General features: G+C 43.9%; 2 annotated features.

Annotated features, from left to right (window-relative positions):
* Positions 4705–5259: an enhancer, noted in NCBI's record as "H3K27ac hESC enhancer chr12:69181025-69181579 (GRCh37/hg19 assembly coordinates)". NCBI's record gives its function as "activates a minimal SCP1, AML or CMV promoter by ChIP-STARR-seq in primed H9 embryonic stem cells {active_cell/tissue: H9 hESC(primed)}" and the evidence as "EXISTENCE:reporter gene assay evidence [ECO:0000049][PMID:30033119]".
* Positions 5260–5813: an enhancer, noted in NCBI's record as "H3K27ac hESC enhancer chr12:69181580-69182133 (GRCh37/hg19 assembly coordinates)". NCBI's record gives its function as "activates a minimal SCP1, AML or CMV promoter by ChIP-STARR-seq in primed H9 embryonic stem cells {active_cell/tissue: H9 hESC(primed)}" and the evidence as "EXISTENCE:reporter gene assay evidence [ECO:0000049][PMID:30033119]".

The following is a 12298-nucleotide window of genomic DNA, read 5'->3' on the forward strand; positions in this document are numbered from 1 at the left end:
ATTATTATGAGAGCTCTGACCTCATGAGACCTTTTTGGGGGTCCATGAACTACACTTTGGGAACGGCTGCCCTAAGCTTTTAGGATGTCATGGTAAACAAGATCACAAGGTCCCTGTCCTCATAGAGCTTAAGAAGACAAACATTTAACAAGTAGAGAAGTGACTAAGATGACTTCAGAGTATGATCAGGTCCCTGAAGAGAATAAACAAAGGGAATGTGATGGATAAACTAGGGGTTGGGGGGCTGGGGGGTGCGGCTTTTGAAAAACTTCCCTAAGGAAGTGACATCTGAGCCCAAAGCTCAAGGATGAAAAACTAGGTCTGCCATGCACAAAACTGGGAAGAAGTTTCTGGAAAGATGACATAGCAAGGAAAGAAGTCTGAGGCAGGAATGATCTTGGCATTTGGGAGACAAGAATGAGAGCAGTAAGGCTAGATAACAGCAGTATTTTTATGGCCCTTAAAACGCCTTCAAGGCTGGGGGCCGTGGCTCACGCCTGTAATCCCAGCACTTTGGGAGGCTGAGGCGGTTGGATCACCTGAGGTCAGGAGTTCGAGACCAGCCTGGCCAACGTGGTGAAACTCCATCTCTACTAAAAATACAAAATTAGCTGGGCATGGTGGTGCATGCCTGTAAGGCTGAGGCAGAGGAGTTGCTTGAACCTGGGAGGCGGAGGTTGCAGAGAGCTGAGATCGCGCCACTGCACTCCAGCCTGGGCGACAGAGCGAGACTCCGTTTCAGAAAAACAAACAAACAAAAAGAAGAAAAAAAACTGCCTTCAGTGAGGATTCCATGTTATTATCATTAAAAATGATAATAACATGTTTAATCCTTGTAACAACCCATTTTACAGATGCAGAAACTGGTGTCAGAGCTAGAATACCAATGCAGTGCAGCCACAGAACCCACACTCATAATCTTTAAAGCCTCTTTTAGAGAAAATCACTCCATGGATTAAAACTGCCTTGTTAATGCATATAAAAGTGTGTGTATGTGTGTGTGTGTGTGTGATCTTATTTATCCCTCTTTGCCTTAGGTCTGGGGAACTGGAAGCTATCAAAGCCATTCTGACACCTCGTTGGAATCTATCACTTGAGGGAGGAACAGTAGCCATAAGCTCAGTGAAAAGGAGTTTGTGAATAATTCCCCTGAAAAGTTTCTCTCTCAATTTGAGCAGTCATAGATGCATTGCTTCTTTTTGAACCTGTGTCTTATTCTAATTGAGTTATAAAGAAACAACAATGAACTGTGGAACTGAACAGTCCACTCTGTGACAAGTTCCTCTGTACAGGTTGGTCATTGTGTGACTTTTCTAACTTCCATTATGGTCCAAAAAGGGGGTTACAAGGGTATGATGGCTGTTGTCAGATCTACACAGACAGGCCAGAGGCATGTAATTCCCTCTCTAGGAACAAACATCAGTCACCCTCAGGGGTAAGGGAACCCAGCTGTCAGCTTTGGTAGGAAAACGCAACCTTCTCCAGAACAAGGAAAATAAGACCACCCACCACGTCACATTCTTGAGGTGTTTGTGCTGATCCTTCTCTTTAATCTTAACATTGTGGAATCTCCACGGCTTTGCTTCCTCTCAGCCCGCTCTCACCCACTCCACCCATTCCAATACACAGGCACTGGGTGAAGGACGGAACTTAGCTCAAAAGGTCTCTATCGCTTGAGGTCGGGCTTGCTCCTTCGTGGTAGGCATTCCATCATCTGGATTGCAACAGAACTGCAAACCACATTGCTTTCTAAGAGACTAAACCCAAGAGACTAACCCCAGTCCAGGGCGTAGCCACCTGCCTCTCAGCCCTAATTACAGACTGTACCTTCTGCTCATGAAGGAGCCCTGCTCTAACTTCTGGGAATTATATGGTTGCATTAAGGTATGGACACATTCCTTTTCTCTCTCGACACCAAAAAGGATACTATATCTGCTTGATCAATAGTCTACCTCTGACTTTAAAGTACTTACTAGAGTATAAGTTCCACAAGGGCAGGATCTTGTCTGTTTCTGTTTACCTTCGTATCCCCAGTACTGGCACAATGCCTGGTTCTTAGTATGTGTTCAATAATTATCTGTTGAATAAATGATTAAGTGAGTGATTTAACTGGACACGAAAACAGGCATATCAGCTGGGTGCAGTGGCTCACACCTGTAATCCCAGCACTTTGGGAAGCTAAAATGGGAAGGTCACCTGAGCCCAAAAGTTCAAGACCAGCCTGGGCAACATGGCAAAATCCTGTCTCTACAAAAAATACAAAAATCAACCAGGCATGGTGGCATGCACTTGTGGTCCCAGCTACTCAGGAGGTTGAGGTGGGAGGATCACCTGAGCCTGGGGAGGTCAAGGATGCAGTGAGCCATGATTGTGCCACTGCACTCCAGCCTGGCTGACAGAGTAAGAACCCATCTCAAATAAAATAAAATGGGTATATCAGTATAGTGAAAAAATTAATCATCCATTTGGTCTTTTATTCACTATTCCACAGATTTTATTGAGCACTGATTATGTCAGGCACTCTTTTCTTTTTTTTAGATAGAGTCTCGCTCTGTTGCTCAGGCTGGAGTGCAGTGGTGTGATCTCAACTCACTGCTACCTCTGCCTCCTGGGTTCAAGTGATTCTCCTGTCTCAGCCTCCCAAGTAGCTGGGATTACAGGTACCTACAACCATGCCCAGCTAATTTTTGTATTTTTAATAGAGATGGGGTTTCACCACGTTGGCCAGGCTGGTCTCAAACTCCTGACCTCAGAAGATCTGCCCGCCTTAGCCTCCCAAAGTGCTGGGATTACAGGCATGAGCCACTGCACCCGGCTGCCAGGCACTCTGAAATGCTAGGAATACAAAATTATTAGGCAAAGCAATCTAACCAAGGGGACTTTCCCAACTAATTAGACTCAAAGAAATAGTCTTTTATTCAGTCAGGAGCATGAGTCCTGCACACAGCACCCCGTATTATACTCTGAAAATTAGGAAGAAGTGGAAGATAGTGCCTTTCACCACAGAGCTTTCAATTTAGAGGCCAAAGAGCATGGCCAAATATTAAAAAGTTATGCAAGGACACAGATATGAACAAGGAAATATTAACGTACCACCAGCTGTACCAAAATGCTGCAGTTCTCTGAGTAATCAAGTGATCATTACTCATGGTATCTCAGTCAGATTTCAGACTAGCAAGATCAACCTTGCTAGTCTCTCTTTTAGGAACTCAGTTCTTTTCCTTCTAATGCCTCATCCCAGTTTGCAATTATATATTTATTTGCTTCTTGTATTTCTCCTTTACTATACTGCAAGCTCAAAAAAGGCACAGGTTATATATGTTTTAATCAGGCTATATTTTAAATGCCTTGCACTGTGCCAGTAAATATTCGTTAAATATATGAATTGCTGGGTATGATGGTGTGAGCCTGTGGTGCCAGCTACTTGAAAGGCTGAGGTGGGAGGATCGCTTCAGCCCAGGAGTTCAAGGTTGTAGTGCACTACAGTCATGCCTCGAATAGACTTTGCACTCCAACCTAGCCAACATAGCGAGACCCTATCTCTAAAAGTAAATGAATTAATTAATGAATTAAGGGTCACAGCCAAATTCATGCTTAAAATATTTTGATACTTGGCCAAGAGGATAGTGGCAGTAAATCAATAAACTGGTTGATGGTGAACTTCTTTTTTGTTGTTGTTGCGGGGTTTTTTTGTTTTTTATTTTTTGAGACAGGGTCTCTGACCCCCAGGTTGGACTACAGTGGCACAATCACAGCTCATTGCAGTCTCAAGCCACCTTCCTGGGCTCCGGCAATCCTCCTGCCTCAGCCTCCCAAAGCACTGGGATTACAAGCATGAGCCATCCCACCTAGCAATGATGTGTGTACTTGTGACATGATGCATAGGATTTACCTTTCCACACTCAGCTAAATAACTGTTTCAATTTTGCTAGGAAAGTTCTGGTCTAGTTTGGTCTGGACTCTAGTTTACTTTTCTTTCTTTTTAACCTTACTTACTTTTTATTTTATTTTTATGTGTTTATTTTTTGAGACATAGTCTCGCTCTGTCACGCAGGCTGGAGTGCAGTGGCACGATCTCGGCTCACTGCAACCTCCACCTCCCAGGTTCAAGCGATTCTCCTGCCTCAGCCTCCCGAGTAGCTGGGACTACAGGCGTCTGCCACCACGCCCGGCTAATTTTTGTATTTTTAGTAGAGACGGAGGTTTCACCATATTGGCCAGGCTGGTCTCGAACTCCTGACCTCGTGATCTGCCCACCTTGGGCTCCCAAAGTGCTGGGATTACAGGCTTGAGCCACCGCGCCTGGCCTAACCTTACTTACTTTTTAACTGTGGCAAAGACTCTAGTCTTCTTTTAAGAGTAACTACAATTTACTTTTTAAAATTATTAAATAATTTTCTATCATACTTTTATGTGCTGTGTTTTATGGATTATGTGTTTTATGTGCTGAATTTATGTTTTTAAATCACTTTTTAAGTTATCTGCATCACTTTTAAGCAAGGTGGTGAGAGATAAAAACCATGTCGCTTTACTTTTAAAGTGAATGACCGCCTCTAAGCTTGAAAACATCACAGTTAGACTGTGTCATTTTCTGGTCTTTAGGTGGAGCCACTGCTATTGCAGGTTTCCTAAACCTAAACCTATTTATAGAGAAATTCCTCTTCAGTCATTTTATAACCAAAGCCTCTTGTAAGTATTTAACATTACATTTTAGCTCAGTGAATTTCACTATATAGGAAAGATCCTGAGAGAACTAACAATATAAAATATGTAGCCAATTCATACATATTTTAACATTCAGAAATACTACTTATTAGAATTTGAATTTATTTCTCAGACTTTTCTGAGAGGTTAGAAGGGCCCTGTTGTGTTTAACCCAAAGACCAGTTCAAAAACTAGGGAAGGAGCTGTTTAAGAGGAAGGAATGACTAACGTCTGAAGGTCAGAGGACTAAAATCCTGGTGATTGAACAAGTTGCAACACATGGGTTTTCCCTCTAAAAAAACAAAACAAGCCGGGCAAAAAAAAAAAAAAGAAAAAAACAAACAAAAAACATTCTGTGCTGGCCCCAGTAATTACTTGTACCCTTGCTCTTTCATTTCCTCTTCTAATGATAAAGGAAGCTGCAGTTGCTCAACTTGTGAACTGAAAACATGGGACAGCAATGACACAGGAAAATGGGCAAGTCCAGGCAAAAGCCCGTGCGGTGGCCAGAGTCCGGGCCTGCCTGCTTTCCCATCATTTTCCTTTCCCATGTTTGTTCTTTTCTTCTTTTCGCCTTGATTTCTTATCGTGTTCCTTTTTTTTTTTTTTTTTGAGATGGAGTTTCGCTCTGTCACCCAGACTGTAATTCAGTGGCACGATCTTGGCTCACTGTAAACTCCTCCTCCTGGGTTCAAGCAATTCTTCTGCCCCAGCCTCCCAAGTAGCTGGGATTACAGGCGGGTGTCACCATGCCTGGCTAATTTTTGTATTTTTAGTAGGCACGGGGTTTCACCATGTTGGCCAGGCTGGTCTCGAATTCCTGACCTCAAGTGATCCACCTGCCTCAGCTTCCCAAAGTGCTTGGATTACAGGTGTGAGCCATCACAACCGGCCTGTTACATTTTTTTAAAAAATATTTTCCACCACCCCTTTTTCCTTGTATCACACCTCTCCTTTAAGCCCACAAGTTAAAGCATTGATGAACACTTCTACTTCAACTTGGGAATATTAATACAAAAAAAAGACCCAGCACTCACTGAAGTACAACACAAAGCAAATCCCTTTTACTACAAATTCCTTTTTCTACAGCTCTTTCCAATGGATTTAAATTGTTCTTAAATGAAATTTTTAAACATATAAAATTGGGAAACATTTTAATTTTCATAGAGACCTATAAATCCATGTTTTCCCAAATTTAGTCCTGTCGAGGGTATGGGAAAACAAGTACCATCTTACATTCATCATGAGACCATAAATTGCATAGCCACAAAAATGCTCATGCCCTGTAACCCAGAAAATCCACTTTCAGGAGTTTATCCTAAGAAAGTAAAGATGTGCAAAAAGATTTTCTTTGTAGATGGGGTCTCACTGTCACCATGGCTGGAGTGCAGTGGCAAGATCATAACTCATTGCAGCCTCAAACTTCCATGGTCAAGCCATCTTCCTACCTCAGCCTCCTGAGTAGCTGAGACTACAGGCTTATGACACCGAGTGTGCCTAAGTTTTTTATTTTTTTTTTAATTTTTTTGTAAAGACAAGGTCTCTCTTTGTTGCCCAGGCTAGTCTTGAGCTCTTGGCCTCAAGTGATTCTCTGGCCTCAGCCACCTGAAGTACTGGGATTACAGGTGTAAGCCACCACGTCCAGCCCTGCATAAAGATTTTTGTGCAGAGAAGTTTATCACAGCATTATTATTATTATCATTTTTAGAGACAGGGTCTTGCTCTGTTGCCCAGGCTGGAGTGCAGTGGTGCGAGTATAGCTCACTGCAACCTCCAACTCCTGGGCTAAAGCAATCCTCTTGCCTCAGTCTCCTAAGTTGGTGTGCACCATCAGGCTGAGAAACATTATTGATAATAGCAAAAAAAATAGGAAAGCAACTAAATGTCCAACAGTTCTTGGTCCACCCGTCCATGTGACTCACCAGTCTTCTGGAAAGGCCTGGGATTTTTAACCTTATGCTTGCCACCTAAACCTCTGCTGGATGAGTGAGGCCCTAGAGATCAATAGACCTCTCTAGTTAATGATTACTAGTCTTCTCCCATTTCTAAGTACACACAGCTTGGTTTCCCCACCTTTATCAACATGCTGCTTAGAACATCTAACTATTTTCAATTGCAACTCCTTCCACCTTCCACTGTAAGAACTATAGTTTTTGGGCTGGGCGCGGTGGCTAACGCCTGTAATCCCAGCACTCTGGGAGGCTGAAGCGGGTGGATCACCTGAAGTCAAGAGTTTGAGACCAGCCTGATCAATATGGTGCAACCCCGTCTCTACTAAAAATACAAAAAAAACCAAATTAGTCAGGTGCGGTGGCATGTGCCTGGGTGACTGTCTCAAAAAAAAAAAAAAAAACAAGAACTATAGTTCTTGTTTTGTTTTGTTTTTTGAAACAAGGTCTTGCTCTGTCACCGAGGCTGGAGTGCAGTGGCACCATCACGGCTCACTGCAACCTCGAACTCCCTGGCTCAAGTGATCCTCCTACTTCAGCCTCCTGAGTAGCTGGGACAGTTTCTTTTAAAAATTATGATTATTGGCTGGGTGCGGTGGCTCACACCTATAATCCTAGCACTTTGGGAGGCCGACGCAAGTGGATCATGAGGTCAGGAGATCGAGACCATCCTGGCTAACACAGTGAAAACCTGTCTCTACTAAAAATACAAAAAATTAGCCGGGCATGGTGGTGGGCACCTGTGGCCCCAGCTACTCGGGAGGCTGAGGCAGGAGAATGGCGGGAACCCGGGAGGTGGAGCTTGCAGTCAGCCAAGATTGCACCACTGCACTCCAGCCTGGGTGACAGAGCAATACTCTGTCTCAAAAAAATAATAATTAAAAAAATTTAAAAATTATGATTATCGTATTCCCCAGGGCAGAGCATCCAAGTTAATAGGCACTTAGCAAGTTTTTATTGAATGAGTGAATAAATGAATGAGATGTTTACAATCTGCCTTGAATATAATTAGCTCTACTTCAAATTGTCGGCCTATAATCCCTCAGCAGAAACAAATCATTTACATAGTAATCCCATGGGGAAGAAAATGACTGTGATTCATAACATTTAAAATTTTAAACAAAACAACAGCAATGATGTGGTCATCTATTCATTCAACAAATGTACTAAGTACCTTCTATGGACCAGATGCGAAAGCCCTGGAGATGGAATCATAGAATTAGAAATTAAGAAAACTGTATGGATTATGCCTATAATCCCAGCACTTTGGGAGCCCGAGGCGGGCGGATCACCTGAGGTCGGGAGTTTGAGACCAGCCTGACCAAAGTGGAAAAACCCCATCTCTACTAAAAATACAAAACTAGCCAGGGGGGAGGGGGGTGGCGCGGTGGTGCATGACTATAATCCTAGCTACTCAGGAGGCTGAGGCACAAGAATTGCTTGAACCCAGGAGGCAGAGGTTGCAGTGAGCCGAGATCACGCCATTGCACTCCAGCCTGGGCAACAAGAGCAAAACTCTGTCTCAAAAAGAAAAAAAGAAAAAAAAAACTGTATGGATTAAGATGTTTAAACAATTAAAGAGGCCAGGCATGCATGCCTGTAATCTCAGCACTTTACGGGGCTGAGACAGGACTGCTTGAGCCCAAAAGTTTGAGACCAGGCTGGGCAACACAGGGAGATCCTGTCTCTACCAAAAATTTAAATATTAGCCAGGTGTGGTGGCGCTTACCTACAGTCCTAGCTACTTGGGAGACTGATGAAGGAGGACTGCTTGAGCCGAGCCCAGTAGGTTGAGGCTGCAGTGAGCTGTGATCGTGTCACTTCACTCCAGCCTGGGCAACACAGCAAGACTCTATCTCAAAAAATTTTCTTAAAAAGGCTGGATGCAGTGGCTCACATCTGTAATCCCAGCATTTTGGGAAGCCAAGGTGGGCGGATCACCTGAGGAGTTCAAGACCACCCTGGCCAACATGGTGAAATCCACTAAAAACACAAAAATTAGCCAGGTGTGGTGGTAGGTGCCTGTAATACCAGCTACTAGGGAGGCTGAGGCAGGAGACTCACTTGAACCCAGCGGGTGGAGGTTGCAGTGAAACGAGATTGCGCCACTGCACTCCCGCCTGGGTGACAGACCGAGACGCCGTCTTAATAATAATAATAATAATGTTAAAAAAATTAAAGAGACTGATTTATACACTGGAATATCAGTTCCTTAATTTGGAAGGTGGATCTACCTAAACAATGCATTTCCCCTCCATGAGCATCTCCTTTGCATCAAGGTACCTGTGAAATTAGATAGGTTAGCAGGAAGTTTATTTATTTATTTATTTTTGTTTTTTTTTTGAGACAGAGTTTCACTCTTGTTGCCCAGGCTGGAGTGCAATGGTGCGATCTCGGCTCACTACAACCTCCATCTTCCAGTTTCAAGCGATTCTCCTGACTCAGCCTCCCAAGTAGCTGAGATTACAGGCACCCACGTAGCTGGGATTACAGGCACCTGCCACCACGCCCAGCTAATTTTTGTATTTTTAGTAGAGATGGGGTTTCACCATGTTGGCCAGGCTGGTCTCAAACTCCTGACCTCGTGATCTGCCCACCTCAGCCTCCCAAAGTGCTGGGATTACAGGCGTGAGCCACTGCGCCCGGCCTGGTTAGCAGGAAGTTTTTAAGGACCATATAATCAGAGGTAAGGGAGTAGACTAATTTAGGAAGCTATTTCTTTCCAGCTATGGAAAGGCCTAGAAATTTTTATGTATTTTTCCAGTGAATTGATTATTCCTATGCTAGACAATCATGATCAAATTCTTACTATTTAATTGCCCTACTCCCTGTTTTTTTGAGACAGGATCTGGCTCTCTCACCCAGGCTGGAATACAGTGGTGAGGTCATAGCTCATTGCAGCCTCGGCCTCCCAGGCTCAAGTGATCCTCCCATCTCAGCCTCCTGAGTAGCTGGGACCACACACATGCACCACCATGCCTGGCTAATTTTTTTATTTTTGTAGGGATGGCATCTCCCTATGTTGCCCAGGCTGATCTTGAACTCCTGGGCTCCAGCAATCCTTCCACCTCAGCCTACCAAAGTGCTGGGATGACAGGTGCAAGCCACTGCACCTGGCCTAATTCTCATTTTTATATATTAATACTTCCTGTATATAAATGTGCTATGGAGTGGGCTGCAGTGGCTCCTGCCTGGCCTCAGTTACTTGGGAGGTTGAGGTGGGAGGATCGCTTGAGCCCAGGAGTTTAAGACCTGCCTGGGCAACATAGTGAGACCCCATCTCTACATCCAAATAAAATAAAATAAAATAAAAAGGTAAAAAAAAAAGAGAGAGAGAGAGCACGATAATTTTTGTACCAGGAATGAAAAGGGAGCCCAAAAATCTAAGCAGTGAGCAGGTGCTGAAACCAACGTACTCACAGAGCAAGCCAAACAGGATTAGACTTTATTACTGGGGACTGGGCTTGAACCTCCGGGCTGCAGCATCAGAGGCTAACAGAATGGAGAGTAAAAAGGTGGGCAAAAGACTTGGGGCTGGAAAGCAGCAGATGGGAGCAGAATTGACAGAACAGCACATGGCCAGGATATCCCTCCCCGCTAAAATACTAGGATACTGACTTAGAAAAGCAGAGGGTCAGGGAAATCTAAAAAAAAAAGACTGACATTTCTATTTAAGAGACATTGCCTAAATTGCTGATTAAATAAACAGATCCAACCAGATCTAAATAATATTGGACATTTAATTAGTTTTCCTATTACACTGCAGGTACAGCCTCAGGAATACTTATAGGCAAAATTAAAGTGCTACTTTTCTATCTGCCTCTCTGAGTTGGAGTGAGTTAAATGTGTAACCCCCACATTGTATATAATAATCTCTTACAATCTTGTTCATAGTGCCACCTATGGTCACGACCAATTAGAGCTGGTAAGGCAGCTGTACTGTTTGCTTCAGCCAATGAGGGTAAATGTACTATGTTGCTAAAACTCTCAGCCCATGAGTACTCTCCTGAGCTATCCTCAGCCAGGCATGCACTGCAAGATGGGTCATTTGTGCTTCTTTGGCTTAACTTTCTGCCATTGACTTTGGGTTCTAGGGAACAGATTGACCCCAAACATCTGACATAACCTACGTAAGTGACAGTGTTGGCTTAGAATAAAGAAACAAAGACTATCATGGCATTTTTTTAATAAAGCAAGTGTTACAGTGACCTGTTTTGGGGACTGCCAGAGATTAGGTGGCAGTTGCCTTCTAGATCTAGCCACAGGAGAAAAAATTAAAGAGCCATATGACTGTGAGGCAGATCCTCATCAGGGAGGAGGCGCAGTGTCTTTTTAACCACTTTGAAGACCAACAGCCAAGACATCTTGAGCTAGTTGTGGTGGACAGAGAGTTCCAAACACCTCAGCCACCAGGAAAAGGGAGTGGCCAGGAAGAGGCTGCAGGCTCAAGGGCTGGGATTCTCCCACCCACCTAAGGAACCTACTGAGCATCGAACCACTCCAACTTGCCTTGGGAGGAGGACTTGAATGCTACCAAAGACTGCTCGACAGGCCTGCAAGGCAGGACTACTTTTGTGAGAATTTGAAGACCATGCCGACCTGTCATTTAAAGCACCCATCTCTGCCTGAGCTGTCAGATTTGCCAAGTTCTGGGTTGTCTCATAATTATTTACTCAGTACAAAATAATACCAGCCATGATCCTCAGTGGTAAGTAGCAGAAATCAACTGTATTTGTTTGCTAAGGCTGTGCTAATAAAGTGCTGTAAACCATGTGGCTCAGAACAACAGAGTTTATTATTTCCAGTTCTGGAGGCCAGGTCTGAAATTAAAATGTCGGCAGAGCCATGGTTGATCTGAAGCCTCTAGGGATGGATCTATTTCAGGTCGCTCTCCTAGCTTTTGGTATTTCCTTGGATTTGTGCAACATAACTCCAATCCCCACATACTGTTCTCCCACTGTGTGTGTCTCTGGATCCAAATTTCCCCCTTTTATATGGACAGCAGTCACACTGGATTAGGGGCCCACCCTGCTCCAGTATGACTTCATCTTAATTGCATCTGTAACAACCTAAATATGGTCACATTCTGAGATAGAGGGGTTAGGACTTCAACATAAGAATTTTGGGGTTCATGGTTCAACCCATAACACCGACCTTGTATGCTTTAGGGAGAAAATGTAGTTAAATGATATTGGCTTAAAGAACCATTGGAAAGGCTGAAGTAGCAGCTTGGAAAATGAGCAGGTACAGGGGAGGCTGGGTGCAGCTGTTTCCTCAAATCATGCCCCAAAGCAGCCCAGTGAGGACATCCTGACCTCTGCAGGACCCTGGGCACCACAGCTTGGACTATTCCAGTATCTCTGACCTGCTATGCTGCTACTCCCAACTACCTTCGGGCACCCCACCCAGGAATGGAGCTACTAGATTTTGGCTTTTATACCACTTGTTCCCAATTTTAAGTCTAGGTAACAGCCTCTGTCCTAACCGCAAGGGAGGATAGGAAAGTAAGTACAGTCATGTGTCACTTAAAACAGGAATATGTTCTGAGAAATGTGTGCTTAGGTGATTTCATTGTTGTGTGAACATGACAGAGGTGTACTTACACAAACTGAGATGGTAGAGCCTACACATTTGGAACATGTGGT

The sequence above is a fragment of the Homo sapiens genome, chromosome 12 (genome assembly GCF_000001405.40).
Source record: "Homo sapiens chromosome 12, GRCh38.p14 Primary Assembly".
NCBI lineage: Eukaryota > Metazoa > Chordata > Mammalia > Primates > Hominidae > Homo > Homo sapiens.